The 14,266-nt window shown below is 34.2% G+C and overlaps 1 protein-coding gene across 16 annotated transcripts in view; it reads right to left on the bottom strand.

Annotated features, from left to right (window-relative positions):
- EPHA6 (EPH receptor A6) overlaps positions 1-14,266 on the bottom strand; it is a 946,939-nt gene that overhangs the window by 99,045 nt on the left and 833,628 nt on the right. For 2 of the 16 annotated variants that reach the window (NM_173655.4, NM_001278300.2), the window contains exon 13: positions 13,911-14,202. The exons of the other annotated variants lie outside the window; for them this stretch is intronic. In NM_173655.4, the coding sequence (NP_775926.1) occupies positions 14,158-14,202 (45 nt within the window). In that variant the 3' untranslated portion in view covers positions 13,911-14,157. Of the gene's footprint in view, positions 1-13,910; positions 14,203-14,266 lie in introns of those variants that run through there. 16 annotated transcript variants of the gene reach the window in all.

The following is a 14,266-nucleotide window of genomic DNA, read 5'->3' as shown; positions in this document are numbered from 1 at the left end:
CTTCAGTCTGAACGCTGCAGGTGAGAGGTCCTTACTGCAGTATGGGACAGGGTCTGTGACTGGGCCTACGATATTTTCACTAAAGAAGAATCCCTTTCTTAGGGCACCTCCAAGCCCTTTTTAATCTTCCAGTTTATACCTTGCTTAATCCTTAGTTATTCTGCATATTGTTTTAAAACGTGTTTCATCTTCATTGTCTTTTTCACATGTTAAATTAACATTTACTAAAAATTTTAAAAGTGGGAATCAGGAGATATTCACATAAAGGGACAGGCTGATTACCTAAGCCTAAAGCAAAGGAGGCTTAGTATTTATTCCTCCTTCCTCTTCCACCTTTTCTCTTTTCTCTTTTTTCCCTCAGCTGTTAGTTTTGACATACTGCTAAAAAGACCTCAATCTCTTATTTGAGCTACAAAGGGTCACTAGGACCTATAAGGAAGCCCTATCAGATAGTTGGTGGCCAAAATCATACATAAACAATGCTTTTGACATTTCAGTATATACTGGGGGAAGAGGGATACTTTTTCACCAAGACAGTGAAGCACTTTTTGCAAATTTGCTGAGCAGCAGTCTCAGAGCTGTGCAGATTTTGTATATGCCAATCATGCACTTTGTATACAAGGACTACCAGGACATCCATAAGAGGAAATTCAAAGATATAACCCTCAAGCTTGTATACATTTGTGTAAGCACCAAAGAGATATTCAGAAAGTTCTGACTGGGAAGGAATGCTTAAGGAGGACCACTGAAATGAAAATAAACCTCACTACAACTTTAATATCAGGATTCCTTCACTCAAGTAGGATTTTCCTTTTAATGATCTGGTTTAAGAATAACCAGCTAAGATTCAATAATTACCATTGAAAGTAGAAACTGGTTTCACTTCAAGGCAGAATTTTACAATTCTCCCAGTTTTGTGTTCTTAAAAAGTTGCCTAGGTTAATGTAATTTCTACTGGGATTTTTAGTCTGAATGTCTGCAAAACCTGATTATTTTACTTAAAAATAGAAGAATTTGCATCTTGAGAACCATGATGTTTTATGAATTATAAGATGTCTCAGTAATAGGGCCCCACCCACATAAACGCTAATGTTCTATAAGATTTCTGCAGTGTTCAAAGCTAGTAGAGGGGCTGTTGAACTACATTAATTTCTTTCTTAAGATAAACACAGGGACTTGAGACAACTCCAAGTAAGCTGACCAGCGTTAGGGAGTACAATCTTAGCTACAATTCTTTTCACTCTGAAATTGTCTTGATAATGTAATACCAAAAATCCTTCTCAATATTTTCCATTTATATGAAAAGTGCAGTGTATAATATGAGGACTCAGAAAGATACTGGAGGTGCTACAGCACCACACAAAGAGATGTTATTTCTGGATTTACAAAAAGAGCAGGGAACTAATATTTTCCACTTTATTATAGGAAGTAATTCACCTTAGAAATTTCACCTTAGAAATTCAGTGGAAAATACTGTAACTGAAGTGTACTTTGAGCAAATGTATTGATAAAAATGACAAACTACAGAAAAGAGACATTGAAAACTGGAAGAATTCAGATTAGAACAAAACAAGACTACTGTCTTAGATACATTTTACTAATTTTAATTAGAAGAAATAGGGATTTAATATTAGGATGTCATTTTTTTTGTATGTTGAGTAGGCCTATGGTTAATTTAATACATGGCAAAATGTTATTTCATTTTATTTTCATAACATAGGTTTAGGCTATTTTAAGTAATCCCTTTGTCATCACAATGAATCCAGAATTAAAGAATACTCTCCAGATATTGTCACCTGTCAATGTCTGTACTGGTGGGCCCTCTCTGGCTATGGCAGCTGAGATTCTGGGCACAATACAGGCAAATCAAGCGAGCTCACAGAATGATGTTTTAATGAGGCATATTTCTGTCAGAATGTGCCACATTTGTATTCCATTCTTGTTTGTCTCTTGTAAATTGTGCCCCGCCTCACTTATCCTCTCTTTTATCTTGGATTGTTCCAGGCAAGCTAAATTCAAGCTACATACACTGAGGGACAGGAACTTTGCAATCTGGTCTCAACACCTTTCAAATTACACAGTTTAGATTCCTCTGCACTTCATTTCTTTCCAATGTGAATGGCAGGATGGCTACAATCTAGGGAGTAGCAAGACATGATGAGTTTTTAAAAACTTTCATTAGAAACTATATTGATGAAAATGTGACCTAGATTAATCTCACAAATTGAAAGTTAGATAGCTAGTGAAAATGAATATACAGTGATATTAAAAAATCAAGAGAACAGTGCAAAATACTGAAGGGAGCATAATGAATGCTATTATATATGGTTGTTACAATCCTCTTTCTGTCAATGTTTTATAGGGTTTCAAGAGTAAAAATTAAAAAAATGCACATAAGAATATGTAGCCAGAAACAGAATTTAAACGATCACAGAAAAGGTAATGTTCTGTTCTTGAGATTTCCTTATATTTCTCTATTTCAGAATAAGAACAATACCCATCTACGAATAGTTTCCTGTATGATACTACTAGGTGCTAAAATGCCTTATATCTTTCTGTGCCATTTCTAGTACTTAAATAAACTGTAATGGTGGTGATAGAATGGGAGGCTCTTACTTGAACAAATGTGTTCTAAACTCTGTGATGATATATATTAAAGCATAATCTGTGGTAGTGCAGGAAAATAATTTATAATCATTTTATTCAAAATTCATTAATATATAAGCATAATAAGTACCACTTATTTTTCAAAGTAGTGCCTGCAATTGCTATTATGACCTCTGGTAACTTTCCCAATACAAAAGAAAATTACTGTGTTACGTTATATTTCAATATTCTCTTCAGGTTTAACCTTTTACTGTTTTTCTCTTCCTTAATTAGAGTTCAATCAGGTTGTTGGGTTTGTATCTCTCTGTTTTTTCCCCCATGTGTATCAATTAGATTATGAAGTATAGGACATTTGATACAAGCTACTGAACCAATATGTAGAAACTCTCACTGCCTCACACCTTGCTCTGAAATCATAGTTGCCCTCTTGCCCTGTGGGACATTTTCATCATCTCTTCAATGTTCTCAAAAGCATAAATTTCATTCATATGCAAGATAACTTAGCATTGGCATTTAAAAATGTCACCGAAAAGCCTGCATGTTTTATTCTCTTTTCCATGTAAGTTTCTCTCTACTCCTTTCTTTCTTCTACCTGATTTGTTCTAAACACAAACTTTTTCACTTTAATAATTCCTTTTTCTAATTTTACATTTGATCTTTTTACTGGGATTTTGTTTCTAATTATATCTTAAATTTTATAGATGGAAACACTGACTAAATCAGATTAAAGTCCACTATGGGAATCCCAATTTAAGTCTGGGAAACTTCGCAGTTAAATACTAGCAGACAATTTCATTTGCTCCTTCCTCTCTGGGTAAATAGTTCAGAGTTATTAAGCTTTAATAAATATACATACTAAGTAAAATCCTTTTTTATCATGGCTTATTAATATGTACATTTTCTATCTCAGGCAATATTAAACTAAGAAAGAAAAACAAAAATCAAAATTGCTCTTCCCTGATTTTCAGAACGCTTTCCAAATGTCCTGGGTTCCATTCATTCACCACAAGAGGGCACACCTATACAAATGTATCATGACCCTTTGGTAGCATGGTTTGATGCTTTTACAAAGGTGTTGTTTTATCATGCTTTTATGTCTTTTTCCCCCTCAGCATGTGCAGTTTTAATAAAGTGATCTGGAGATTACTGTAGTTTCTAATGTTGAATGTGGAATATGAATTTCACCTTCGAACAAGGGGGATATTCTAGGTCAAAACTCTTGAAACTGCAATTCCCACGGTTTCTTCTATTTCCCGTAAGGTATATTGGAGTTCAAGCAAAACCTAATCGTTTCCAAGTGCCTTAAAACCCCATTGACTTTAGAGATATTAAAGTTTCATGGCATAATCTGAAATAATATGTAATTGTTTTAAGACTCTGAGATAAAATTAAGCACCTGAGGCAACTGAATGACATTACTGTCTAAGAAAAGTTGTCTATGTTCTGGCCATAGGTTATAGTTATATCATAGTTTAAAGTATTTTCACAAAATTTTAAGGTCTTCAGTAAGTGCCATGGAAGGGACATACATTTTTACATTGGTCTATATTGGAGACAAATAATTGTCATGGATACATTAAAGAGAAGAAAATGCAAGAAAAAGGTAGCAAAAGGGAAAATACTAAATTCAACAAAAGGAGCACCAGAGAAAAAAATCAGGGCTCATAGTCTCACTCTTCATTATAAAGCATGTTTTACATGAAAAACTATCTTATAATAGAAACTAAAAGTGTGTGGGTGAGATAGAAAAGCATAATGCTAAGAATAATGCCAGGGAAATTATTAATTTATGTTGTACAGTATGCTTAGTGTAACCAGAACAGCTCTAATTTCCCATTATTCACTCCTTTTCCTTCCTATTTCCTCCCCCTTTCCACTGTATTGACAATTCTTTTACCTGCTTGTGACTTCTGTCCTATCTAATGATGTGTAAGGCTGGAGGAGGAAATAATTGGATATGTGTCTAGATTGTAGTAGGGCAGTTAATCAAGATGGAACTCTTAGATAACCTGTTTCACAATCACCTGGGTGTTTATTAAAAATCTGAATTTCCAGATTGGAAATTCTTGCTATTCTTCCCTCAGACATACTGAATAAAAATGAATTTCAGGGGCTGAAACTGGAAATCTGCATTTTTCAATAAGTGTCTCTGGTGACTCCTAGGCTGTTAGTCTCAATAGTGGCTAGGATCTATAATTTAGCTTATTTATTATCCTGTTCGTTCTTATAACATTCTGTAAAATAGAGTGGTCAGTTTTATTAATTCTGTTCAAGATGTGGAAACCGAGGTACAAGGATTTCAAATTAATGATTCGTGTCTGTTCACTGAATTATGGCCAAGCTGAGATTAAAATCACAGCTCCAAGTTTATAACCTACTGTTTACTCTACCATATTATGTCTGTAGTATTTCCATTTCTTAATGACTCCATATCCATATTGGGCTACTGAAATGCCTTGATTATGGAACCTATAGAGGGTAGGGTGGAGATGAAGGTATAATAGTTTATTCCTTGACTTCTTTGTTAGTTTTTACTTTATATAAGAAAACAACTTGGTTCTATCAAATTTATGCTTTTCCTTTAGTGGCAGTTATTTTTAAAAGTAAACATAGTTTCATCTTAACTAAGAAACACAGCCTGAAAATTTTCCTTAAAAAAAGAGCCTTTAGAAAAATACATGCTATAAACACAAATTTAAAATGTTGACTTCTCTTAAAAAGTTTACTTTTATAGCATACAGGAAAAACAAACATTTGGACTACTAAAAGAACAAGGTAATGATTCAGCTTCCATAAAAAGAAAATTAAGGACCAGGCCTAAATTATGCAATATATACAGGCAGGAGTAATCTAGAAAGCATTACCTTTATGTATAATTCATTTAGCAGCTGCCTTTTTGTGACACATATTATACACTGATTAAGAGGATGGTTAAACAACTGAGTAATGTGTATGTTTCATATGATAATACCCTGTTCTTATTGCAAGTTTAAAGAAGCAAAACTAGGTACAGTGAAACTTTGTGTGTTTATGTTAATGTGAACAGGGAATGATATGAATATATGAAAATATTGATGGATCATAGATGCATTCAGAGCTGTTACTTGAAGAGACAGAGAGGCCCAAGGGAGAGTTTGAGGAAAGCTCTTTGCAGTCATTTTTTCAGTGCTTTCTTTTGCTTTCCTGCAATAAATCATGACTGCAAAGGTTTGACCTATATAAGCCTGATCAGTAAGTAGCTAGCACAGACCAATCAATGGATAGCCAGGTAGGAAAATACAGTAAATGAAAAAGAAAAAAAGGTATTTATTTCTTAATAAGGATATGGATACATTTTTATAATATTTAAAATTTTTTATCTTTAAACACACACTTTAAGATTCTGTAGCATTTTCTCTAGCTTCAGATCTCCTAATCATTATTTATAGGTTCGGAAAAGTTGATTCTGGGGCTTATGGTAGGCCCTATGGTGACACTGAGGAATAGGTATTAGATTTTAAACTCTGGGGAAGAATCTGAAGTTTCTTGGAATATTGACCAGAATTCCATTTAAAAAATCAGTAGTAGTAATATTTATTTCCTTAATCTCTTTATCTTTCATTTAAAAATAAATGTTGCCTAGTGAAGTGACCTCCAGCCAACTTTTTGATTAAAGAAGTAGCATTAAAACAAACATGTTGTTTAGCAACTAATACCAGAGAGAAGAAATTTTAATATACCAAACAGAAGGCTACCTTGGAACTCTGCCAGGAGCTATTTCTTTCTATAGTTTTATAACATATATTGTTCTCTTTCCTTTACCATAAAAGTACAATACTCACTGTAGAATACTTTCGTTTACCATAAAAGTACAATACTCACTGTAGAATAATTTGAAAAGACTGGTAAGAAAAATAAAAAAAAAACATTTTGAGGTGTGTTTGCATTTGTAACATCTATCGCCAAAGACTAAGAGATCTTTCTCTTCTTTTTTTATTATACTTTAAGTTTTAGGGTACATGTGCACAACGTGCAGGTTTGTTACATATGTATACATGTGCCATGTTGGTGTGCTGCACCCATTAACTCGTCATTTAACATTAGGTATATCTCCTAATGCTATCCCTCCCCCCTCCCCCCACTCCACAACAGGCCCCCCAGTGTGTGATGTTCCACTTCCTGTGTCCATGTGTTCTCATTGTTCAATTTCTCAGGGATCTAGAACTAGAAATACCATTTGACCCAGCCATCCCATTACTGGGTATATACCCAAAGGACTATAAATCATGCTGCTACAAAGACACATGCACACGTATGTTTATTGCGGCACTATTCACAATAGCAAAGACTTGGAAGCAACCCAAATGTCCAACGATGATAGACTGGATTAAGAAAATGTGGCACATATACACCATGGAATACTATGCACCCATAAAAAATGATGAGATCTTTCTCTTTTTTTCTCAACCTTCAAAGACTTTCAACTGCCGATATCCATTGTCTTCTGCAAGAGTCTCAGAGGTAAGAGATTGAAGGGAGTTTGCATATGACAGAAAAGAATTTGCAGTGGAAACTACTGGGGAAGAAGGAGGATTTGATTGTGGGACAGGCACTTTCCCCAAACATTGTTATTGCAATGGCTAACTGACATAGTCTCCCATGGAATAGCCGTGTGACTTGTGTAAATCATTTCTTTGGGCCTCAATTTCCTCATCTAGAGAAACAAAAAACCCCAAAACATACACAAAAAACATATATATGTATGTGTATATATATATAAAATATATAATATATAATATATAACATATAATATATATATTTTCTCCAAGCTGATCTACTGCCACAAGATATCCCAAATATCTTCACCACTCTTCATTTTCTTCTTTACCGGCATAAACTAAGGCACCATCATTTCCTGTCTAGGGTTGTGCAAATGGATCTCTTTGCTATCTCTCTCCCCTCCTCTCTGTAAATCAATCTCAATATACAGCCAGAATGAGCTCTTTAGAACACAAATCATATGTCACCCTTTGCTTAAAATTTTCCAGTGGCTTCCTTTTGTAGATAGAATATAATTTCTACTCTTTTCCATGCCCTTTGAGTTCCTACAGCATCTGGCTCTTCTTTCTTTGTTTCCTTAACACTCTCCCCTACCTCTCAGGGTATCAACCATCCTGGCTTTATTACTAGTTTTAAAATACACCAAGCTTGTTCTCATCTTAGGAGCTATATTTGTTTTTTTCTCATCTTTGAAGATTCTGACTTCAAATCTTTTCCTGGCTGGTACCTTTACAATTTTCAGGTCTTACTTCAAAGGTGACAACCTTATTAAAGAAATATTTACTGGCCATGTCTTTCAAGGTAGCTACTCACTTTTATTTTTGTTGTATATCCAATATTTATCACTATCTGAGATTATCTTTTAAAAATTATTTTTTATTTCTGCCATCCTCAAGACTGTAAACTGTATGAAGAAAGCTTACTTATTGGAATATGTCCAGTGACCAGAACAGTACCTACCAAAACAGTAGGTACTCACAGATTTGTTGTACAGAATCTCAGATTGTAATTACTTATCCAATAGCATGATTATTTAATGTTTTCTCCCCAGCGCTTTTTCAGCTTTACTGAATATGACTGACAAAAAATTATCTATATATAAGGTATAAAATTTGATGTTTTTAATATACATTGTGAAATCATAACCACAATCAAGCTAGGTAACATATTTATCACCTCACATATTTACCTTTCTTTTTTAAAATTTCTGGTGAGAACACTTAAGATCTACCCTTTTAACAAATTTCTAGCATACAATATAGTATTGTTAAATTTAGTATTGTGTATTAGCTCTCCAGAAATATTCATCCTAACTAAAACTTAGTACCCTTTGGCCAACATCTTCCCATTTCCCTCTCCCTGCAGCTCTTGGTAACAACCATTCTACTCTGCTTCTATGAGACTATTTTAGATTCTACATGTAAATGAGATCATGTTGTATTTGTCTCTCTGATTCTGGATTATGTCATTTAGCATAATGTCCTCTACGTTCATCTATGTTTTGCAAATGGCAGGATTTTCTTTTTGGGGGCTGAATGATAATTCGCACACCACATTTTCTTTATCCATTCATTCAAAAAGAAATATTTAGGTTGTTTTTATATCTTGGCTATTTTGAATAATGATGCAGCACACACAGGAGTGCAGAATCTCTTCAAGATACTGATTTCATTTCCTTTGATTATATACCTAGAAGTGGGATTGCTGAATCATATGGTAATTCTATCGTTAATTTTCTGAGGAACTTCTAGACTGTTTTCCATGATAGCTGTACCAATTTACATTACCATGCACAATGTGCAAAAGTTCACTTTTCCCTGTATCTTCACCACCACTTGCTATTTTTTGTCTTTTTGATAATCACCATTCTAATAGGTATGAGGTGATATCTTATTGCGTTTTTATTTGCATTTCCATGACGATTAGTGATGTTGACTGCCTTTTCATATACCTGTTGGCCATTTGTATGTCTTCTTCTGAGAAATACCTATTCAGGTCTTTTGCCCATGTTTAACCAGGTTATTATTATTATTGAGTTGTATGAGTTCCTTACATATTTTGCATATTAATTCCTTATCAGAAAACTATGGTTTGCAAGTGTTTTCTCTCATTCTGTAGGTTGTTTTTCATTTTGTTGATTGTTTCCTTTGTTATTCAGAAGCTTTTTAGTTTGATGCAATCATACTTGTCTATTTTTCCTTTTGAGACCCTAAGCACTTTTATCCCCACTACCTAACATAGTGACTTATAATATTAAGAATATATGTAAAATGTATGATTATTGGGGCCCCAAACTAACTGTATGTTTATAGTATCCTTATACCTAGTTAGTTTGTGTGATTGTGGGGACACAATACTTAAACTCCTCATTTTATTATTTCTCTATTTATGTTATCTATTAATATGGAAGTTTTCATATTTGTTGATTACTATATCAGGTAGAATGTCTTCAGATACAAGTCATAGAGTCATAATACCCAACACTCAGATGCTTAAGCAAATAAAACACTTAATTAAATTAGAAATAAAAAACAGGAGTAAGTTTCTGTTTTGATGCAGAAATTCAGCAATTTCATCTGAGATCCAGGCTCTTTAGATCTTCCTACTTGGCCATACTCAGCATTGGGTTTAACTCCTTAGGCTTGCTGCCTCATGTCTGCAAGAGGGCTGTCACAGCTCCAAGCATTATGTCCTCCCAAAACCATATTCAAAGCAATAAAGAAAGTGAAAGGGCCAGTACTAGAAAGCTCCCCACTCAAACCTATTTTTGATAGATTTCAACTAGAAATTTTCCAATAAATTCCTCATCTCACTTCTATTATATTTAAGTGTAAAACTTAAGTGTCCAAGGATAGTGGTATAACTATAACTGACATATAAATCCTGATTTATTTCTTGGATCTGAGCTCATTGAAAACATCCAAATTTCAAGGTTTCATTAGCCAGGAAGAAATAACAAGAGAGGTTGAATGGGCAGCCAATAGGGTCTGTTGCAAACAGCATAAATAACCGGTAATGTTTTCACTTTATTTGCCATTGATGTGAAGCTTTTTACACTGGGAATAAGTAAGCTTTCCCATAAAGATTTCATGTGGTTTGTCTGGTATTTATCATGTTTTCCTTCTTAGCTGTTTACTGTTGAAGGACAAAAGCATTCTTTTCACATCAGAGATGAAACTAGCGATTAAGCATTAGTTATGACTTTATTTCCTCTGTTGGTATCTTTGAAACTCTAGATTTAATGTCAGCAGGTATGTTATTTTAAGTGGGAGCAAAACATGGAGTATGCATTGACATAAAGAAAGGAAGAATAGACACTCGGGACTACTAGACAGAGGTGGGGTTAGGGTTGAAAACTACCTATTGGGTTCTATGCTCACTACCTGGGTGGTGGGATCATTTATACACCAAACTTTAGTGACACTAGTGACACACAATTTACCCATGCAACAAACCTGCACATAAACCTCTGAACCTAAAAAAAAAAGTTACAAAAAAAATAAAGTCAGCATGTTTGTGTATAGTTTTACTTTGTCTTTTTTTCTGTACAAGCAAGATGGGCCAATGACATTTTACTCTCTGCTTGCTGGACATGTGCTGATTGATCTTTCTCAGTAAATCAATATAGTCTGGGTTTGTTCTAAAATCATGGGAAAAGGGAGAGTTTCTCTGAATTAGACAATGCTGAATGTTGCTAACACACGAACAAACAGCACTTGGCATTTCATGAGATTCTTAATCATCAAACTGTACGGAAAATATCTTGAGAACTGTGACTGGCATTTGATTATTCCTCACTGATTAGCACTTAGGTTAGAAGGACTAGATGTATTGCAGATATTTATAAATATTAAAATATTATGTATTCTGTGATTTTATAAATCATTTTTATTGGATCTTATCCAGGCTATAGATATCCTTTTGTGTTCAATATGCTTTTAGAGACTTTCCCCCTCTGCTTGTGAATTTTCTTGTCTGCTTGTGAATATCCTAACCCATCATTGTAAGTGCTTTAACATTTGCTACATTTGCTTCTTTCTATTGCAGATTTTTCATTGCTTTTGCAATATATTGAAGATTGTTTTAGGTTTACAGATTGGTGGGTTGTGATTAACAGTGATATCAGAGAAGAAATGAATGTAATTGTACTAAAGACAATGTTCTTATAATTTCAATCACTTTCTTTCTACTTATTTCCTATTGGTTTTATTATCAGCAATTAATAAATAAGCCATTAAGTAGTATATTACTGTAGGTGTTGAGAAGCTTTCAAAAATGTAAAACATAAAATTTCTTGCTTGCCACAAATCTATAGCAAATGTTATCTTAGGACAAAATCGAAACAAAATAACCACTTGCAAGTGACACACCAAATCTTGAGTGCTGAAAAGAAAGTTGGAGTTTCTCAGTATTCTCTTGTGTTAAATAATGATGACTTCCAAGGTCTATTTCTTAGAGTCCTCTCCTTTTTTTTTTTTTTTTTTTGAGATGGAGTCTTGAACTGTTGCCCAGGCTGGAATGCAGTGGCGCAATCTCAGCTCACTGCAACCTCTGCCTCCCAGGTTCAAGCAATTCTCCTGCCTCAGCCTCTTAAAGAAGAGTAGAGTCCTCTTCTTTAAAACACATATTGAAGAGACAAAAGGCTTATTACATGTAACAAGGACTTCTTGTTTTTGTTTTTTAGGTTCTTTTTTGTGTGTGATTTGTACAAATAAAATATAGAGGTTTTCTCAAAGTTTGGCTTGCCTTCTTAATAGTATATATGACTGAGCCAGATGGATCTATTTTCAAAATTTTTGATGAAGCTACCATTTTATCAATCATTTTTTCCTTTGTGTATGATAATCTTAAAATCTTTTTCATTTGTTTTACTAAAAATCACTCTGTAATGACCGCAAACTGTTGTTTCCTAAGCTTCATAGATGAGGGCTTTTCAGGAAATAATTCTTTATGCAGTAATTTCCTTTGGTATTGCATTAATCCCCACTTTCCATCATATGCTTAACATCTGCCATTGTCAGTTCACCTAAGCAGTATATTTCATAAGAGTTTCATGCCCTTCTGAAACTACCATCCCAGACAAGTACCATTAAGATTCTGGGTCTCTATGCCTATGATCCAAGCTGATGTTTATGGTGTTCACACCTCAAACAGTTATTGGAGAAGACTTTTACCATGCATTTAGCACATATTCTCTCCCGTTTGTTATGTGTGTTGCTCCTCCATCTCCATTGTTGTGGATTTGCTTTCTGACAAATGGGCTCAAGATGTGGAGACTACTAATTTTTAAGAATATATCTTTTGTATTAGATGATTAGAGTATCCTTTACAAAAAGTTTATATTGAAGAAAGTATATAAAAACTGTCAGATTTTCTCTTCATGAATTAATCTATCAAACATTTGCTGGATCAAGAGTACTGTTTTCCTGTGAATTTAGGAAACCTAGTATTAGCGCATCGATTTCTTCCTCATCAGCGAATTATAATGGTCAATACATTTGACTGGTTTTGATTGACTACTAGCATAGCATCTATCATAGAACTATTGTTGTGTGTGTGTGTGTGTGTGTGTGTGTGAATAGTGATTTTGTTGTTTTTTCCCAAGTGGCATAGCTCTTTTCTTAATAGATGAATTTGGTTTATCCAGCTTGGATTTTTGTTGTTTTTCACTTTTCCAAGGTTTATTTACTTATCACCTTTTTTACTGAAAAATAAGTTATTTAAATCTTCACATCATAGCATTCTGATAATGCTGCTATTTTTCTCACTTTTCTTTATTCTTATGTGGCTGAATTTAGGTTTGCCTAAAAAAAGTGCCATTTCCTTTATTTGAATTTCCCAGTGAATTCTCTGAAGGAGCTTGTTCTTATATTCTATATATGCTGCTATATGTAGCTTTTTCTATGTTAGTAGATTATATGGTTTGGCTGTGTCCCCACCCAAATCTCACCCTGAGTTGTAATAATCCCCACGTGTCAAGGGTGGGGCCAGGTGGAGATAATTGAATCATGGGGTGGTTTCCCCCATACTGTTGTCGTGGTAGTGACCATCACAAGGTGTGATGGTTTTATAAATGGGAGTTCCCCTGCAAATGCTCTCACTTGCCTGTCACCATGTAAGACGTGACTTTCCTTCTCCTTCACTTCTGCCATGATTGTGAGGCCTCCCCAGCCATACGGAACTGTGAGTCAATTAAACCTCTATCCTTTATAAATCACCCAGTCTCAGATATGTCTTTATTAGCAGCGAGAAAACAGACTAACACGGTTGGTTTCATGATTTTCTACCTAAGTGCCTGTTTTGTGCCTAAAGCAGTCAAACCCCCTCCATTTTTAGCTTGGTCAAGTCTTAAAGAAAAATTGAGTGTAAGTAATTTTTCGGCTTAGACCCAGTTGAACTAGGGTAGAGTTAGAGTAAAATGCATTTTACCACGTATTGTATCTTAGCACAGTGTCAGCTCCACCAGCAGTGACTTGATGACAGAGAATCCTGTGGTAGAATTTCAATGGATAAAGTTTTATTCTTTAGAATCCGAGAAATCAGTAACATTTTTCAGTGTGAGTCCTTTTATTCAGTGCATTGGTTATTATATAATTGTAATTGAAACCTTTAATCTTTTTTCTCGCTGCAAACTTTTTACACCAACTCTTTAATTTAAGAGACAAAGTGAGTGAAAGTTCTGAGTATGTTTTACTAAAAGGTTAAGCATGATCTCCAGACGAATCCCATTTACTCATGTTAATGAAAGTACTTAAAGGCAGATCTCACTTGTGTTAAAATATTTATTCTTAAAGTTCTTAAAGTTGGACATGTTCAAGGCTTAAAAATTAACTTCAAAAAGTCAAGCCAATTCACAAACACCTAAATTAGGTGAAGGAGAATCTCTCCCAACTTTAAAATACACATTAAATACCTTCCCCTCATGCTGCTTCATTATTTTTTATAATTATCTCCAGTTGGGTGTAGGCTATGTCTTCTTAGACCGACAGAAAATTTGGCTTTTCTCAGAATTTATGCAGAATAGCAGAGGTTAAGTGTTAGAGTTTGGAAGAGGTCCTATGAATGCAAAGTAAACAGAATTAAGATGTTAACAGAACTGTAATTATGCAGATTATATATT

This window comes from Homo sapiens, chromosome 3 (genome assembly GCF_000001405.40).
Source record: "Homo sapiens chromosome 3, GRCh38.p14 Primary Assembly".
NCBI classification, from domain to species: Eukaryota; Metazoa; Chordata; class Mammalia; order Primates; family Hominidae; genus Homo; species Homo sapiens.
The sequence above is the reverse complement of the archived record's forward strand: the minus strand, read 5'-3'. Positions and strand labels throughout refer to the sequence as shown.